This window comes from Homo sapiens, chromosome 12 (assembly GCF_000001405.40).
Source record: "Homo sapiens chromosome 12, GRCh38.p14 Primary Assembly".
Classification (NCBI taxonomy): domain Eukaryota; kingdom Metazoa; phylum Chordata; class Mammalia; order Primates; family Hominidae; genus Homo; species Homo sapiens.
Window position 1 is genome coordinate 630,807 of NC_000012.12, and position 18,256 is coordinate 649,062.

General features: G+C 48.7%; 1 protein-coding gene and 1 long non-coding RNA gene across 5 annotated transcripts in view, besides 8 other annotated features; one reads left to right on the plus strand and one right to left on the minus strand.

Moving 5' to 3' along the window:
* Nucleotides 1-18,256, minus strand: part of NINJ2 (ninjurin 2) — a 99,150-nt gene that overhangs the window by 66,511 nt on the left and 14,383 nt on the right. For 2 of the 4 annotated variants that reach the window (NR_160428.1, NM_001294346.2), the window contains exon 1: nt 12,705-12,830. The exons of 1 other annotated variant lie outside the window; for it this stretch is intronic. The gene's annotated coding sequence lies outside the window, so the exon portion shown is untranslated. Of the gene's footprint in view, nt 1-10,553; nt 10,685-12,704; nt 12,831-18,256 lie in introns of those variants that run through there. One more of the 4 variants, NM_001367996.1, reaches the window with a different exon arrangement.
* Nucleotides 11-110: a silencer, noted in NCBI's record as "silent region_4103". NCBI's record gives its function as "represses an Ori minimal core promoter by ATAC-STARR-seq in GM12878 lymphoblastoid cells {active_cell/tissue: GM12878}" and the evidence as "EXISTENCE:reporter gene assay evidence [ECO:0000049][PMID:35858748]".
* On the plus strand, nt 85-15,072 carry NINJ2-AS1 (NINJ2 antisense RNA 1). Its single transcript, NR_122124.1, has 5 exons — nt 85-179; nt 1,408-1,441; nt 1,703-1,810; nt 10,038-10,218; nt 13,153-15,072. It is a non-coding gene; the product is annotated as an NINJ2 antisense RNA 1 (long non-coding RNA).
* Nucleotides 8,614-8,793: an enhancer, noted in NCBI's record as "active region_5779". NCBI's record gives its function as "activates an Ori minimal core promoter by ATAC-STARR-seq in GM12878 lymphoblastoid cells {active_cell/tissue: GM12878}" and the evidence as "EXISTENCE:reporter gene assay evidence [ECO:0000049][PMID:35858748]".
* Nucleotides 8,984-9,053: an enhancer, noted in NCBI's record as "active region_5780". NCBI's record gives its function as "activates an Ori minimal core promoter by ATAC-STARR-seq in GM12878 lymphoblastoid cells {active_cell/tissue: GM12878}" and the evidence as "EXISTENCE:reporter gene assay evidence [ECO:0000049][PMID:35858748]".
* Nucleotides 9,094-9,143: an enhancer, noted in NCBI's record as "active region_5781". NCBI's record gives its function as "activates an Ori minimal core promoter by ATAC-STARR-seq in GM12878 lymphoblastoid cells {active_cell/tissue: GM12878}" and the evidence as "EXISTENCE:reporter gene assay evidence [ECO:0000049][PMID:35858748]".
* Nucleotides 11,787-12,376: a silencer, noted in NCBI's record as "silent region_4104". NCBI's record gives its function as "represses an Ori minimal core promoter by ATAC-STARR-seq in GM12878 lymphoblastoid cells {active_cell/tissue: GM12878}" and the evidence as "EXISTENCE:reporter gene assay evidence [ECO:0000049][PMID:35858748]".
* Nucleotides 12,467-12,516: a silencer, noted in NCBI's record as "silent region_4105". NCBI's record gives its function as "represses an Ori minimal core promoter by ATAC-STARR-seq in GM12878 lymphoblastoid cells {active_cell/tissue: GM12878}" and the evidence as "EXISTENCE:reporter gene assay evidence [ECO:0000049][PMID:35858748]".
* Nucleotides 14,559-15,758: an enhancer, noted in NCBI's record as "MED14-independent group 3 enhancer chr12:754531-755730 (GRCh37/hg19 assembly coordinates)". NCBI's record gives its function as "activates an origin of replication core promoter dependent on BRD2, BRD4, P300/CBP and CDK7 cofactors, and independent of MED14, by STARR-seq in HCT116 cells {active_cell/tissue: HCT116}" and the evidence as "EXISTENCE:reporter gene assay evidence [ECO:0000049][PMID:35650434]".
* Nucleotides 15,777-16,071: an enhancer, noted in NCBI's record as "tiled region #6322; HepG2 Activating non-DNase unmatched - State 1:Tss". NCBI's record gives its function as "activates a minimal TATA promoter and a strong SV40 promoter by Sharpr-MPRA in HepG2 cells {active_cell/tissue: HepG2}" and the evidence as "EXISTENCE:reporter gene assay evidence [ECO:0000049][PMID:27701403]".

The following is an 18,256-nucleotide window of genomic DNA, read 5'->3' on the forward strand; positions in this document are numbered from 1 at the left end:
CCCAGCCCGGCCTCGTGCCCCTCCCCAGCAGGCTTCCGGCCCTGCGCACAGACCCAAATGGCGCGGGAGGAGGAAGAAGGGGTCAGCTTCAAGCCTGACGTTCTAGGGGGGAGCCGCTTCTTAAGTACGTGCTAGGATCAAGGGTGCATTTGCAAACTTTTCAAAATGCCTTAGAGGAGGTAGGAGTCAAGCCCTTGGGATCTGGAGGGGAAGGAGGAGAGTCAGTTAAACCGCAGAAAGGTTGGTGGGGAGTGGGCTCAGTAATGGCCCCTGTCACAGCCTCGGGCCGGGACTCGCCAGCTCATTTTCTATTTCTAACTCAATGCCAGGCACTGAGCACTGTGCTCAACCTAGTAATTTGGAGACGGAGGTGGATATGCATATAACAGAACAGGATGCTCTCCGGACAAACGTTCTGAAGGAAAAGCAAACGGAAGATCCTCCCGCCTCTGCTGGGCAGTCTCTAATGACCCCTGGGGTATGTTCCAGACATGCGTGGGCATCTGCGAATTTACTCACCTGAGAGCTGCCTCTACCTTTTTTTGTTAAATTTTTATTTATTTATTTATTTATTTTGAGACGGAGTCTCCCTCTGTCACCAGGCGGGAGTGCAGTGGCGTGATCTCTGCTCAATGCAACCTCCGCCTCCCGGGCTCAAGCGATTCTGCTGCCTCAGCCTCCCGAGTAGCTGGGAGTACAGGCGCGCGCCACCACGCCCAGCTAATTTTTATATTTTTAGTACAGACGGGGTTTCACCATGTTGGCCAGGATGGTTTCTATCTCTTGACCTCGTGATCCGCCTGCCTCGGCCTCCAAAGTGCTGGGATTACAGGCGTGAGCCACCGCGCCTGGCCTGCCTCTACCTCTGATCCCTGGGATCAGAAATGAGAAATGCAAAGATTGTCCCTGTGTTATGTGTGTACTGTTTGTAATTGTAATTCACAATCCCCTTTCTTGCTCCTCACCCCATATTCAATTAAGAGAGAAAGGTGAAAAACACAAAGCACAAAATGTTTCCAGGAAACTATCTGAAACTCCTGGAAGGCTAGATTTAGGTATAAACAGAGTAGAACTCCAGATTTCTGCAATGCTCCTTAGGGGCTGAGCTTCCTGCATGCCCTTGACAATTAGAGGAGTTTTTTTTAATACTTCAAAATTATTCCAGAAAGGCATGCAGATGAGAAGATAACCAGGTTATGAGGAAGCCCAAGGTATTTGGTAAGGATGCTCAAGTTTTGGGGAAGGTCAGCTGAAATAGCAATTTGTGGGTGGACTATTAGCAGGGAGTTGACTGGAGAATTAATCAGACGTTGAAGGGACATGGGGGACCCGGGAGGATGAAGTCTGAACTCGGGCTCAGGATATGGAAAAAGATTGAGTAAAGCTGAGATTCCTGTGTGCTTAAAGTCCTAACCAGCCCCAGGGTGTCTGAGGCACGCTGGTAAGTAGAATCAGAGATTCCATTCAGCAAAAGCAGACAGGAAAACAAATCTCTTTTCTTTGTTTGTCCTGGTTGAAAACCAAACACGGTAGCCGTTTGATGAAATTCCAGTGTCAGGAGTGTTTGGGCAGGGAAGGGAGGGTAAAATTGCAGCTAGCCTCTGACCACAGGGAAATCAGCCTAACGGCTCCATTCAGGCCATTCTTCAGCCCTGCACTCTGGAATGTTCACAGGGTGTCTGTGCATCTCCCCTGATTCCAGCCCACAGGACACTTGCTCTCTCTTTCTTGTGACCCCAACATGTCAGCTGGCAAGACTCAACATTCCTGTCTGGGACTGAGCAGCTTGAACCACTTGTATGAGTCACAGGTAATTTTCAGCAGTGTGAGAAAACACTGAATGAAGAGAAGTACTAGGTCCTGAGGAGGCTTAGCTCTGGGGTAATGGAGATGGGGGTGGGGGTGGAGAGAGGGTTCTAAAGGTCAACTGCAATGTCCCCCAGTTTTCATGTATCTTCATCAACATAGACAAATCCCAGCGGATCTAAGCTTTTGAAAACTTGACCTTTTGTAAAAATGAGGAAACTGAAGTTATAGCCCTTTCTGGAGTGTGGAAGCTTTGGAAACATCGCACCACAGTGAAGCAAGCCGGGGAGGGTGCCAGCCCAAACCAGAACCAAGTGTGGGCATTTCATGCCATGAACACAAAAGGTTAGTGGGCCGGGTTGAGCTTGGGCAAGATCTCACAAGATCTTAGATCCAGTGTATTTTCTGTCAGTAGATTTCAATCAGAAAGGTCGTGAAATATACCTCAGCCTGGCATTGGGCTTGGGGCAAAGATCTAGGACTTTCTTTTCCAGGGAAGTTCTCTGAGAACTGAATCAATTCCTGCCCTCTAATCTATCTTGCATCCCTTCCTGAACCAACCTCCCTAAAACTGTGCCCCACTCCTCCATTAAAAAAAAACAAGGCCGGGCGCGGTGGCTCACACCTGTAATCCTAGCTCTTTGGGAGGCCGAGGTGGATGGATCACCTGAAGTCAGCAGTTCAAGACCAACTTGGCCAACATGGTGAAACCCTGTCTCTACTAAAAATACAAAAATTAGCCAGACATGGTGGCACGTGCCTGTAATCCCAGCTACCCGGGTTGCTGAGGCAGGCGAATCACTGGTTCCACCAGGAGGTGGACGCTGCAGTGAGCCGAGATGGTGCCACTGCATTCCAGCCTGGGCAACAGAAAGAGACTGTCTCCAAAAAAAAAAAATCATGTCATTTAAAAACTTCTGAGGCTGGGCCCAGTGGCCCATGCCCGTAATCCCAGCACTTTGGGAGGCTGAGGCAGGCAGATCACTTGAGGCCAGGAGTTCAAGACCAGCCTGGCCAACACGGCAAAATCCCGTCTCTACTAAAATACAAAAATTAGCTGAGCGTGGTGCCACATGCCTGTAGTCCCAGCTACTCAGGAGGCTGAGGCAGGAGAATCATTTGAACCCAGGAGGTGGAGGTTGCAGTGAGCCAAGACTGCCCCACTGCACTCTATCCTGGGTAACAGAGTGAGATTGTGTAAAAAAAACAAACCACTTTAGAGTTTTCCACTGTCTGCTAAATCAAGTACACATTCCTTTGCCTGGTTATTTAAAAATCCCCCATAATTCGGCCCCACCCCACCTATCCAGTTGTGCTTTCCCCCACACACACCGTCTGATCTGGTCAGAAAGGCCTTTGCACTGTCCCAGATAGCTTACTCATTCCTGCCTGTTTCATTCCCAGTTTTCTCCACATTCATTCCTGAATCTGAATTTATTCTTCTTTAACAAAACCAAAAGACCCTACCTTAGGATATTTGGCCAACTACTTCAGTTTGCATTTCTCCTTCTCCAAGTAATTACCAAGTCACGCCTTGATATATATACCTCCCCCAATAGACTATAAGCCACCATGAGTTCAGCACAACTTATGTAAGTTATAGTGCCTCACATAAGTTGTGCTCACTAAATAAATGTTGATTAGTTGCAGTTCTTTTTTTTTTTTTTTTTTTTTTTTTGCACTGTCTCCCGGGCTGGAGTACAATGGCACGATCTCGGCTCACTGCAACCTCCGCCTCCCAGGTTCACACGATTCTCCTGCCTCAGCCCCCCTAGTAGCTGGGATTACTGGCGCCCACCACCACAGCCGGCTAATTTTTTGTATTTTTAGTAGAGACGGAATTTCACCATGTTGGCCAGAATGGTCTTGAACTTCTGACCTCGTGATCCGCCTGCTTCGGCCTCCTAAAGTGCTGGGATTACAGGCATGGGCCACCGCGCCCGGCCTAGTTGCAGTTCTTTTTCTTCTGCAGTAAAGGCCAAACACACACAAAATCAGTCTCCTCCCAATCCTGACTTGCATCCTCTAAGTTTAGTAGCACAGAGAGAAAATGTAGAGAATGGTCGTACCCAAGATATTAAGGGGGGATGAGTTCAAGACAAAATAAAATGTTTGCCCAACGCTGACATTTTAAATGCTCATCTGAAAATTGGCACCTCCAGAATGTTGCCCTCTTCAGAGCATTCAGACCCAGGGCACCATAACATTAAATTCCTTTGTGTTTAAGACATTTCCTCTTAATTCTCTTTCTCTTTGAGGGAATGGTATAAGTACAAGAGGTTGGAAGAAACCATACACTTCTTTTTTAAAAAATAGAGACAGGAGCTGGTCATGTTGCCCAGGCCAGTCTAGAATTCTTGGTCTCAGGCTAATCCTTCCCCATCGGCCTGCCAAAGTGCTGGGATTACAGGTGTCAATCACTACACCCAGTCCCCATATACTTTTTTTTTTTTTTTTTGAGACGGAGTTTTGCTCTTGTTGCCTAGGCTGGAGTGCAATGGCATGATCTTGGCTCACTGCAACCTCCGCCTCCCCGGTTCAAGTGATCCTCCTGCCTCAGCCTCCTGAGTAGCTGGGATTACTGGCACGTGCCACCACATCCTAAATTTTGTATTTTTAGTAGAAACAGGGTTTCGCCATGTTGGCCAGGCTGGTCTTGAACTCCTGACCTCAGGTGATCTGCCTGCCTCGGCCTCCCAAAGTGCTAGGATTACAGGCATGAGCCACCAGGCCTGGCCCCTGTATACTTCTTTAAATGCAATAGAGCAGACATATAGACCAGTGGAATAGAATAGAGCCCCAAAATAAACCCTTGCCTATATGGTAAACTGATTTTCAGCAAGGCTTCCAAGACCACTCAATGGGGAAAGGATAATCTTTTCAGTAAATGGTGCTGGAAAAACTGGATAGTCCCACATACAAAAGAATGAAACTGGACCCTTACCTTATGCCATATACAGAAACTAACTCAAAATGAACCAAAGACCTAAACTTGAGAGTTAACACTGTAAAACTCTTACAAGAAAACACGGGGAAAAATCTTCATGACATTGGACTTCACAATGATTTCTAGAATATGACAGCAAAATTGCAGGCAACAAAAGAAAAAAACAGATAAATTAGATTTCATCAAAATACAGAACTTGCGCACCAAAGGACACTATTAAAAGAGTGAAAAGGGGCCGGGCGCGGCGGTTCACGCCTGTAATCCCAGCACTTCGGGAGGCCGAGGCGGGCAGATCATCTGAGGTCAGGAGTTCGAGACCAGCCTGGCCAACATGGTAAAACGCTGTCTCTAATAAAAACACAAAAAAATTAGCCGAGCATGGTGGCAGGTGCCTGTAATCCCAGCTACTCAGGAGGCTGAGGCAGGAGAATCGCTTGAGCCTGGGACGCAGAGGTTGCAGTGAGCCAAGAGTGTGCCACTGCACGCCAGCCCGGGCAACAGAGCGAGACTCTGTATAAAAATAAATAAATAAATAGGCCAGGCGTGGTGGCTTACGCCTGTAATCCTAGCACTTTGGGAGGCCGAGGCGGGTGGATTACCTTAGGTCGGGAGTTCGAGGCCAGCCTGACCAACATGGAGAAACCCCGTCTCTACTAAAAACACAAAATTAGCCAGGCGTGGTGGCACGTGCCTGTAATCCAAGCTACTCGGGAGGCTGAGGCAGAAGAATCACTTGAACCTGGGAGGCAGAGGTTGTGGTGAGCTGAGATCATGCCATTGCACTCCAGCCTGGGCAACAAGAGCAAAACTCCATCTCAAATAAATAAATAAATAAATAGATAAATAAATAAAAATTAAAAAATAAAAGAGTGAAAAGACAACCTACAGAATGGGAGAAAATATTTGTAAACCATATTTCTGTTAAGGAATTAATATCCAGAATAGATAAAGAACTCCTACAACTTAACAGCGAGAAAACCAAACAACTCAATTCAAAAAAGGAGAAGGAACTAGGGTAGACATTTCTCCAAAGAAGACACACAAATGGCCAACAAGCTTCATGAAAAAAGGCTCAATGTCACCAGTCATTAGACAAATACAAATCAAAACAAAATGAGATACAACTTCTTACCTGTTAGGATGACTATTTGAAAAAAATGAAAGAAGAAAGAAAAAAAAGCAAGTTTTGGTAAGGATACAGAGAAACTGAAATTCTCATGCATGACTGGTGAGAACGTAAATGATGCAGCCAGCAGCCACTGTGGAAAACAGCTTGGCAGTTCCTCAAAAAGTTAGAGAATTACCATATGACTTAGCAATTTCATTCCTAGGTGTGTACCCCAAAAAACTGAAAGAAAGGACTCAGATACCTATACACCAATGTTAATGGCAGCATGTTCACAACGGCGAAAAGAAACAAGCCAGTGTCCATCAGCAGATGAATGGATAACCAAATGCGATATATTCATACAATGGAATATTTTTCAGGCTAGAAAGGAAGGAAATTCTGGCCAGGCACAGTGGCTCACACCTGTAATCCCAGCACTTTGGGAGGCCCAGGCTGGCAGATCACAAGGTCAGGAGTTCAAGACCAGCCTGGCCAACATGGTAAAACCCCGTCTCTACTAAAAATACAAAAATTAGCCAGGCGTGGTGGTGCACTCCTGTAATCCTAGCTGCTCAGGAGGCTGAGGCAGGAGAATTGCTTGAATCTGGGAGGTGGGGGTTGCAGTGAGCCAAGATTGTGCCACTGCACTCCAGCCTGGGCGACAGAGCGAGACTTCATCTCAAAAAAAAGAAGGCTGGGCATGGTGGCTCAAGGTTGTAATCCCAGCACTTTGGGAGGCCGAGGCAGGCAGATCACGAGGTCAGGAGTTCACAACCAGCCTGGCCAACACGGTGAAACCCCCGTCTCTACTAAAAATACAAAAATTAGCTGGGCATGGTGGCAGGCACCTGAAATCCCAGCTACTCGGGAGGCTGAGGCAGGAGAATCGCTTGAACCCTAGAGGCAGAGGTTGCAGTGAGCCAAGATTGTACCACTGCACTCCAGCCTAGGCGACAGAGTGAGACTCCATCTCAAAAAAAAAAAAAAAGAAAAAGAAAAAGAAAAACCTTTACCCCAATTAATGTACCCCAAATGCCATTGGGTAGGGCCTTGCAGAAGGAATGCTAAGTGTGGGCTTTGACACAACCCAATTCCCTGTGGCAACCAGGTGTTGCTGGTTTAGGTTAGTGATTAGTGCTTACGGGTGGGGTAAAAGAAATACAGCCTTGGCTTATGAATACCTAGGCACAGAATGTCCCCACCTCGGCCCTATGGGGCAACTGTTCTCACAACCCTGTGAGTTCTTCCCAAGGAATCAGGGCCAAAGGATTAAGGACCTCAAAAAAAGGGAGTTCTCATTCCAGCTCCTTCAGCAGAGTCACTGTACCTTGAAGGACCAGCACCATTTGTGCTTCAGGGAAAACAACACTGGAAAACAACAAAGGCCTCTACCAGAAGGTGGGAGTGGGAACTCTCCCCTGCACCCCTATGCTTTAGGAGGAAGGTGCTGCCCACATGCTAAGCCAGTTGCAGGAGAGCACCTAGGCCTGCTGCATTCCACCTCCTGCAGAGACACCTGTGTGCTCCTGTGTTGTAGCTTGTTAAGGGAGTGTAGACTTGTCCTTCTTGTGTTGAGTAATTTTTCAGGGAGGCTGGAAGAACTAGAAGGTAAATTTCCTCTCTACTCCAGCCAGGGTTCCAGGAGCCAGGCCCATCGCTCCAATATATGCATACGTTGTGTTGTTATTTCCTATTAAATCCGATCTTTTCACCCACCACTGAGTATTACACTAGCACTGACATTTAGTTTTTTGTTTGTTTGTTTTGAGACGGAGTCTCGCTCTGTCACCCAGGCTGGAGTGCAGTGGCGCAATCTCGGCTCACTACAAGCTCCGCCTCCCAGGTTCACGCCATTCTCCTGCCTCAGCCTCCCAAATGGCTGGGACTACAGGCGCCCGCCACCACGCCTGGCTAATTTTTTGTATTTTTAGTAGAGACGGGGTTTCACCGTGTTAGCCATGATGGTCTTGATGTCCTGACCTCGTGATCCGCCCGCCTCGGCCTCCCAAAGTGCTGGGATTACAGGCGTGAGCCACCGCGCCCGGCCGACACTTAGTTTTAAATCCAGTTTAATATTTTATACACAGGTTCTTGTACTGGTTTCCACTTATTTTATGTAATTCTTGAATTCCCCCACAAAATTACAAACCTCTCGGGAACCATGCTCCACCCTGCTTTAGCACCTATGTTCCCTCCCACATCCAGTACACAGCGAACATTACATCAGTATCAATCGGTATATGGGAGGATGTAAATAACCTAGTGTATATCCATAGTAAGTAATACTCTGCAACTGTTAAAAATAATAAGGTGGATCTATATATTCTGACATGGAGAGATTTCCAATTCATATTATTTTGCCCCTGAAAATTAAAGCAATCAGGCACAGTACAAAACCCTCTATGTAGAAGGAAGTAAAAGAAACAAGGGCCTGGTCCATCCGTTTATTTCCTTCCTCCTACTACCCCTAGTCGCAGACATTTGTTACAATCTCGTGTGGCAGAACTCAGTAATTTCCTGTATTTTCCCTTTCAAAAAGAACTGTAGTTAATGTTAAATAAATGTCTAAGTCAGTTGCCATAGGACTTGCCACAATACTAGTCACACTTATATGGGGCTGTCATTGCTCATAGTGCTTTACATGAATTAACTCATTTAACCCTCACAATAGTCTTATAAGACACTGAGGCACAGAGAGGTGAAGTAACTTGCCCTAGGTCAGACAGCACAGCAAGGAGGTGGCAGACCCAGGATTCAAGCCTGGACAGTCTAGCTCAGGAGCCTGTGTCCTTAACCTCTATGTTGAAGGTGCTCTTCTTTTTTTCTATTTTGTGTATGCCTCAGTGATGGATGGCACTCAGAATGCTGTGTAAGAATGAACAGAAAAGAAAAAAAAGTCCCCATTGCCACCCTAACCTATGGCTCCGTTTATGGACTTGTAGGTTTGAGGTACCTATAAGGAGCTACTGATGCCTTCTGGAAACTATGTGTGGGCTGCTACTGAGAGAACATGACCATTTGCTATGACTGTGTTAGTCAAGTGATATACATAGATCTCCCCAGCAAGTGCCTCCTGAGGACGGGTTCCAGCCCCAACCCTAGATCATATCAAGTACAGCTCCAGCTATTAAGCTGGCTAATGATGGTCCAGGTGTAACAAATCCCACCTGATTGAAACCGGCAGGGGTAGACCCGCTAACTTTTATAGAAACATAGGTACAAAGTATAAGGTTCCTAGGATTCTGATTCTTGGCTCTTCAAAGGCCGAAGGAATGAAGATTGATGCCATCTAAAAGCAAATTAGGAGGCCTTGCCCAGGCCCAGGCCCCCGAATAGTGTATTGGAGATGACACGGTGTTTAGTGCTGTTTCAGGTTAAGTCAGCGTCCCTCCAATGTGCCAGACCTACTGTCACAGCAATATGTATCCCCAGTTCACACACGGAATGTTTGCTCTCTAGCAGCCAAATACACTGGAACTGGCAGTAATGATCTCACAAAAGCAGGAAAGCTGAGCAGTCAGTCACATGATTACCAAGGTATTGAGATGGAAGAACTGGGCATCACTTAATGAAAATATCTTGGCATCTTAGAATCAGAAGTTTCCAAACTTGGAGGCAGTTTAAGAACCATCATATCCAAAGTCCTTGTTTTACAAATGTGGCAACTGAAGCTTTAAAAAAAAGGTAGGCCTGCGGGCTCCTTGCCTGAGCAAAGTTAAAGTGTAGTTCTTTCAATACAATTCATTCAGACCTCCCTTTCAATGACAGCAGGGCCTTTAGTCCCAACTACAGTCATTAATTCATCCCTGGTACTTGACTTCTATTCCTCCTTTCTTCTTAATGGTCCTGTTTTTATTTTATTTTGTTTTATTTTTGAGACTGAGTCTTGCCCTGTCACCCAGGCTGGAGTGTAGTGGTGTGATATGGGCTCACTGCAACCTCAGCCTCTAGGGTTCAAGTGAGTCTCGTGCCTCAGCATCCCAAGTAGGGCTAATATCTGTATTTTTAGTAGAGACCCTGTCTCTTCACTATGTCGTCCAGGCTGGTCTTGTACTCCTGGCCTCAAGTGATCTACCCACCTCGGCCTCCCAAAGTGCTGGGATTACAGGTGTGAATCATTGTGCTAGGCCACATTTTTTTTTAATTGTTCTGTTTGTGTTGTGTTTACTCATACAGAAAAGGAGAATCATACCCCCATTCCACCACCCCACTCCAACCCCTCCACTGTGGCTCCAATGTTACAGACCACTCCTAACTTCAGTCCCGGAAGAATGGAAGGAAGGCTGCAACTTAAGAGACTGCGGTTAGAAGTGATCTTCATAAATTGTTTGCCTTGCCTGTGTCTAGAGTCCTTAAGGTATGGGTCCTCCAGGCGGTTTTCAGGCTGTTCTCTTATGTAACCATGTTTATGAGGTGAAATTATTTGACAATGTGCTTGTACTATTTTCAAATAATGAAAACCAGCCATTGCCCTATTAATGTCTCATCAGAACAAAAATTCTGCCTTCCGTGTGCAGACTGCTCACTGGTTTTCAAAACTACCGCTTCTCCCTTCTGGAACAGCCCTACCTTCCCACTTGGAAGGGGGAATGGGAAAGTGGCTGCACTGAGTTGCCCCTCCTGTCTCCCTTCCCTCCCCCAACCCAACCCCCTCCACCTCCTGCTTTGCAGATTCTCTAGGTTGATGTCTACCTTGATCTGCAGGTGGGTTCCAGTTGGAGAGTCTCTGGACAAAAGCAAAGCCTACTTTTCTCCCCAGGGTGAAAGGCGTGGGGAGAGGCCATGAGGATGGGAGGAGTGTGCTCCAAATCAAAATGCTTCTCCTGGAAGTCAGGAAAGAATTCCAGATCACTAGCTCTGATAAGACTCTTGTGCTAAAGAAACAGGCTAGGGCCGGGCGCGGTGGCTCACACTTGTAATCCCAGCCAGCACTCTGGGAGGCCGAGGCAGGCGGATCACAAGGTCAGGAGATGGAGACCATCCTGGCTAACAGGGTGAAACCCCGTCTCTACTAAAAAATACAAAAAATGAGCCGGGCGTGGTGGCGGGCGCCTGTAGTCCCATCTACTCGGGAGGCTGAGGGAGGAGAATTGCTTGAACCCGGGAGGTGGAGGTTGCAGTGAGCCGAGATGGCGCCACTGCACTCCAGCCTGGGCGACAGAGCGAGACTCCGTCTCAAAAAAAAAAAAAAAAAAGCAGGCTGTAAGGGAAGTCTCTTCTAACACTGCCCTGGAGCTAGGACATTTCCTAGACTGGCTCAGAAAAGACCTGTCTTTGAGGACAATGCCGCTTTAGGGTAGAATCTAGCGGAACACCACCTTTCGACATGGTCCCGGCATGGCCTCCCCTTGGGGCGTGGAAGGCGGGAAAGGGCCCGTATTTCGGTTTGACAGCCTGAGATGTGAATCCCGGTTGAGCCATTGACTAGCTGTGACCTTGAGCACATTCACTTTCCTGAACTTCAAGTTTTCTCATCTGTGAGTCGCGGTTAATAATACTTACACAGTGGCCCTAAAAAATCAGAGAGGAAAAAAAAGTCTATGCAAAATGCCTGCTTCGTACAAAGGGCCCAGAAGTGGTAGTTTGTTTGTTTGTTTTTGTTTTTGAGGCTGGAGCGCAATGGTGCGATCTCGGCTCACTGCACCCTCCGCCTCCCGAGTTCAAGCGATCCTCCTGCCTCAGCCTCCAGGGTAGCTGGGACTACAGGCGCCCGCCACCACGCCCGGCTAATTTTTGTATTTTTAGTAGAGACGGGGTTTCGCCATGCTGGCCAGGATGGTCTTGAACTCCTGACCTCAGGTCCCCCCGCCTCGGCCTGCCAAAGTGCTGGAATTACCGGCGTGAGCCACCGCGCCCGGCGCTATTATTATTAATAACTAAGGGAAGCCCAGGGAAAACTCAGCAGAAATCAAGGACTCTCGTGAGAAAAAAGGAACCGAAATAGCCCAGACTGGCGCTCCCCGGACTCTGCAGCGGGCGGCGCTGCCCACGGAGGGGGGCGGGCTGGGAGTGGGGGATCCGGGGGAGACGAAGGTGAAGGAGCTGCGGGGCTAGTTCTGAGCCGGGAAAAGGTGAGGGCGGCCCTGGGCCTCCCGCGGGGGAAGGAAGAGATGAAGCCACGTGACAGGGCCCAAAGCCGGGCCCCGAGCGCGCCGCAGACCGGATGCGGGAAGTGGGCTCGGGGCCCCGCTCCCCTGCCCGGCTCGCCCGCCCGCGTCAGCTGACCTGGCTTCCGCGGGCCCTGCGCCCTCGCGCTCCCGGGCCCCGGCCGCCCCCACGCCCCACGCCGCGCCCGCCGGCCCGGCCCTCCCTCCCCAGCTGGCCCGGCCGCCGCGGCCTCTTCCGCCCGGCGCCCGCGCATTCCTGCCATTCCCCCGAGTCGGCCCGCGGGCTACGGCCGCCTGCGGAGCGCAGGAACCTTCACCTCCCGAGGACAGGCGCCTTCCCCTCGGGACCCGGCTCCCCTGCTGCCTGCGCCGCTCTGTCCCCCTGCCGCTGCCCAAGCCTCCAGCAGGGGCCACCGAGGGCTCCAGGAGCACCCCAGGCCCGTTCTTCTGGCCCACAGCGCCCCTCCTGTGACCCTCAGCGACCCTCCTGTCCTGCCCTCCGGCGGCGCGGCTGTCTGGAGACTCTGCACCGTCGCGGCCTCGCAGCCTCGCAGCCCCGCGCCGGGTGGGGAGGGGAGGGTGGCGTTCCTGAGTCCGCGGAGGAAAGGGTCGCAGCTGCAGTCGCGCCAGCCCTCGGGCCTACATCCGCTCCGCCGCGACGCGGCTCACAAACTAGGGAGGGGAGAAGGGAAGAAAGACCCGATTCGGGAACACGGCTTTGTCCCTGGAACTGTACCTCATGTCCCCTCACTTAATCCTCCCAAGACCTGTGGGGCGTGTCGTCATTTTAGGGCTGGAGATGAGGAAACCGAGGCTCGGAGAGATGAAGCGTTGTACGGCCACCGAGCGGCTGCTTTGCAACGAAGCCAAAGCCAACGTTTTGTTCTTAGCGGCGGTCGTTTGAGCCACGCCTCACCGCAACGAGTCTGCCATCAGCCAAGAGGTCACATCTTTTCTGGAACTCGCTCCCCCCTCACATCATGGGAGCAGTCAGTCTACTCTTCCAGTAGAAACTGTTTTGCCACTTTTGGGGGGAATCTTGAGCTACCAGCTCATCGCTCAGGTCTTAGATGACACTTTCCTTGACCCCACCGGGTGCTCCAGCGCCTCTGCTTCCGGTTTTCATAGCCCTTATAATATCACCTATTGCAATTGCCCATTTCCTTGTCTGTCTCCCTCTGCAGATGGAGTGAAGGTACCTGAGCGCAGGAACCATGGTCTTCATTGCTGCCTCAGCATTAGCGGAAGTGCCACGGGCCGGCTCCCAGGGGGCCAGAGTTTCCCAGGAACACCATTGAGTACCACTGAACTAGAGTCTGCAAGTTAAAGTAAGGCAAGAAGGAAAACCGGAAACAACTGTAAAAACCTGACCTTTCGTCACCTTAATACTGGCCATCATTTATCGAGTGCTTATTATGTAACAGACATTGTTCTCAGTGTGTGAGTGCAGTGTTCCTCAAACCTAAATGTGGGCCTGAATCGCAGCGGATCTTGGTAAAATGCAGTTTCTCATTCAGTACCTCTGGGGTGCGGCCTGAGATTCTGCATTTCCAACAAGCTCCCAGGATACTTTGTATAGAAAGGCTTTGGTGTATTAACTAACTCGATCTTCTTAATAATCCTATGAAATACTACTGCTATTCCCATTTTACAGATGAGGAAACAGAGGTTAAGCATATATGAACTTACATCAAAATAAATAGACTGCAGGGCAAGGAGGGAGGGGAGAATAGTGTGGGCAGTGTACAGTGCAGAAACAAAGTTCTAGGCAGAGGAAAAAGGATTTACAGAAAGCCTGGCATACAGGGCAGGGGGACGGGGCCTGCACACGGGGCTGTTTCACCGTTAGACGTTATAAGCACAGTACTTGGGGCTATGGGCTTCCTGAAGGTCCCAAGTATTTGAGACCTGAAAAAAATTTATTGACACCTACATAGGAAAAGTGAACTTTTAAATTAATAATTCCAAAATTCAAATCACGAATTGTTTCAAAAATTTTACATGATAGAATTCATATTTAGTAAGCGATACGGGTATATTTTAATGCATTTGATTTTAAAAACGGGGTAGGGCCTACTAAGAACAGGCCAAGCCCTGGCCCCAGTGGGTTTGGATATAATCCTGAGGGCAGCTGGGAACCACTGAGAGAAGCAGGAGAATGTTCTCTGTGGCTACAGTGAGGAGAATGGATTGGAGGGAGGCCAGACTGGAGGCCCAGTGGCTAGAGACCAGATAGGCAGTTACAGTCTTCCAGACTGCGAGACAATCTCTCTTTAGTGCCAAGATTAGCATAAAATCATAGCATTATATAACCCAATTATTCTTTGATTCCTGCATCCCCAATCTGACTCAGCATTCTAAATTTACTTAAGATCTGGGGACAAGGGTTTTTGGCAAATCCTTGAAGGCAAATGATGTTACAGTCAATCAGTATATGCCTTGAGCCAGACAGACATGGGTACGGGCCTCAGTTCTGCTGCTTGCTAGCTATGTGACTTTGCACAAGTGATTTAACTTCTCTGGGCCTTGGATTCCTTACTGGTAACACGAGCATAATCGATTCCTCACAGAATTAAGTGAGAAAACTATGTATGTAGGACTTCTTATGGAGTGGGTACTTAGAAATAAATGGTAGCCGTTATCATTTATGTGCCTTTGTTCTGAAATCTGCTTAAGTTTTCTCTAGGAAGTAACAGAGGGTAGAATAAATTATTTAGTATTTTCATCAATCTTCTGAGATAAAAATTATTATCCTCATTTTGCAGATAAGGAAAAGGGCTCAGAGATTAGATCACAGCTCTGTGAAGTAGGGGCACAAAGTGGTCAACCTGGAAGAGCTGGACTTTATTTTGCTTGCACTTCTGTCCATGCACTCTCTCCAGCAGTTGACATTTGCCCTCTTTGATGGCTCCACGACCAATTTCCCTTAGTCATGGCATGAGTCAGCTGTGAGGGCTGATGGCACACCACCGAATACTCTGCTGTGGCGCCACTAGCCTCCATTTACCTTCTTCTCCAACGTTTTCCAGCCTCCCTCATACCTTGCCCCCCAGTTTTATAGCTTCTGGATTTTCCTTATTAAAGAGCTTGTTTCTGAGACTCAGAACCGCCCCCGACTGGGATGTCTTCCAGAGTACCTCCCTTTCAAGGGAGCAGATAAGTAGGTCACATCGGGATGGCGAGGGAGGAAGCTGACTTCTTATGGGAGGAGGAAAAATACTGCAGGTCACATGGAGAATGGAAAACAAAATAACAGGGTTTCTCTCTTTTCCTAATTCTCTCACACAATCTCACAGGGACAGCCCGCTGCCAGCCACTACTACTGTGACTAGCATTCTGGAAACAGCACAGGCAGTACTGATTTCTTGGACCTTGAGGACACTAGTGGCAACTTGAGGATAAGCCTTGTCTACCCTGTGCTCCCCTCCATCCTACCTGCCTCCTCTTCAGGCTACTCCATAGCCCCCAGGATATTTTTTTCTCCTACGCAGTGAAGCGAAATCTCAGCTTTTACAGGAGCGTCCACCTCTTGGACTGCCCCTTGAGGGCCTGAAAGCACAGAGCTCTGCAGGGAAGCTCTGTGGGGCAGGAGGGCACTGCCCGTGAGTGCCTGGAGCAGCCCAGGATCCCATTTACAGAGACTCCTTTGCAGCAACCGGGTTAGGTCATGGGCTTTGCAAGATTCCTGCTCCCCTTCCCAACCCTAGTGAAGGCAGTTCACAACAAGGAATGTGGGTGAGCATTAAATTACGTAGATCACCGTGAAAGCCAGAGAAAAAGAGGGACAGAGGAAGGGTGCGGCATTAAAGATCCAATGCTACCAACCCCACCCTGCCCCACTATCCCTTGGGACGGAGCCCTGTTTGAATCATAACACTGGGCGGTCACATTTCTAGGAAACTGCAGCTGAAGAGGAAAGGTCCTGGTTGTGTGAGTGAGGCTGTGTACAGATTAGGACTGAAAATGTGTATCCGGGCAGACAATTGGTCTCTGGACTCCACACCCGAGGCACAAGACAAGCACACAAAACAAAATGACCAAAGCCTGACCCCTCAAACCTGAGGGTAAACAAACCTGCTTCCCTGGACAAGGGTTGTGGAAACAGGGAGTTCACCTCTGGAGAGGCGCAGGGGTTTTCCATTCTCCTGGCGTGGAGCCTGGTCAACTTCTAGCTCAGAGACTCGCTGTTCCAGGATACTGGGAGCTCTTTCACAGAAGCTTGGAGGTGATGCTGCAGACTTTGGGCTGGCACTCTCTCCCACCTGACTTCCACATTGCCCCCTGCCCTCCCTACCCCTGTTCCCAAGGCCCTCAAACTGTTCAGGGGTGCCAGGCCCCTCTGTTCCTTCTCTTCCACCCCTGCAGAAGGCATATTCCCCCATCCCTCAGGTGTCTGTGCCCAGGTGCCCCGTGGGAAAGCCCACTCTTGCCTTCAGTAGCTCTCTTCCCTCTCCTGAGACGCAAGGCTGGGTGACAGGAGACAGACATTCATCTTCACCCGAGCCCTTCATTATGCTTAATCTTTCTAGTGGGGGTGGGCCTGTCAAACACGTCTCTTTCCTAGGTTGGAGTAATCCCAAAGCACCTCTCATCATAGTGGCTGTAAATCCCACAAGTATGTGGCATGCACATAGTAGCACTGACAGTGTGGTGGTGCCCTGCACTGACAGTGTGGTGGTGCCCCACACTGAAACAAGAAGTTTGGACTTGAGAGGCTTAGAACCTTTGTCTTCTTAGAAAGTGACTGGCAGCTCCTCCTCCCTGGCACCTGCTCCAACCTGGGCCCCTTGATCTGCTGACATCTCTGCGTGACTCTGGGTGCGTTGCTTACTCCAGGTCTAGTGCAGGTGCTACAGGACTACCTGGGAGAAAGGAGCCAGTCTTGAAGTCTCCATTTCTCCCATACATCAGTCACTTAACGGATTTAAGTAAGACCTTAGTATGCATCGGGATCACCAGGGGACTTGTGAAAATACAGATTGCAGAAACCCTCATCTCCAGGGTTTCTGATTTGGTGGGTCTAAGGATTTGCATTTCTAACAAGTGATGGGGTGCTGCTGTTCCAGGGACCACATTTGAAAACCACTGAGTTCGAGTATAGCAAAAAGAAAACCTAGGTTTCAGTCCTGCCCTGCCGCTTCCAGGCTCTGTGGTCTTGTCTTTGACCTTCCTGAGCTTCACTTCTGCATCCATTAATGGTGTAGTAATGACCACTGGGTAGTTGGGAGGATTCATTTGCATCATGTGTTTGAAAGACCCTTTCACGGTGCATGGCAAATTGGATACATCAATTAGTCAACAAATACATTTTTTTTTGGATGGAATTTCACTCTTGTCACCCAGGCTGGAGTGCAATGGTGTGATCCTCGGCTCACTGCAACCTCCGCCTCCTGAGTTCAAGCGATTCTCCAGCCTCAGCCTCCCAAGTAGCTGGGACTATATGCACCCGCCACCACACCTGGCTAATTTTTGTTTGTATTTTTAGTAGAGACAGGGTTTCACCATGTTGGCCAAGCTGGTCACAAACTCCTGACCTCAGATGATCCGCCTGCCTTGGCCTCCCAAAGTGTGGGGATTACAGGCGTGAGCCACTGCGCCCGGCCTAACAAACACATATTTATTGAGTAGTCTGTCTGTTGTTCATTAGATACCCAATGCCATGAAGATTCTAAGGCCCAGTTAAACATCACACGTCTCTGGACCTTGATTTTTTCCTCTTTAAAACAAGGGCTAGACCCGTTCATCGGGGATGAACTGACCGAATGAATGGTCGTGTTCATGAGTGTTCTTTGCTCTGCAGAGGCACCTGGGCTCTCAGATAGAGGTCCAGGAAAGGCCTGGACAAGGAATAAAACATTTGGCTGTCACCTGCAAATCTAAGCACCCCATACTCCCATCAGAGTTGGACTTCTGCACAGGACCTGGAAGGCCTATTAGTCTAATAAACCAAATTTGGCCTTCAGGGTCCATCATGATCTGATTCCAACCTACCATTACAATCCTATTTCTCACTTTTCTCTTCCTTTCACCTTAGAGTCTAAACAAATCTATCTACTCATCCTTCCCCAGATATGCCCTGTGTTTTCCTGCCTCCAGCTTTTTGTTCACACTGTTTTCGGCACTAGAATACTCTTGCACTAGTCAAAGTCCTATTCATCCTTTGCAGCTCATTCAATGACTATATTTTCAAAGAAGTCATCCACCTATCTATCTATCTATCTGTCTATCTATCTATCTATCTATCTATCTATCTATCTATCTCAAGTGATTTTATCTTTTTCTTTTTTT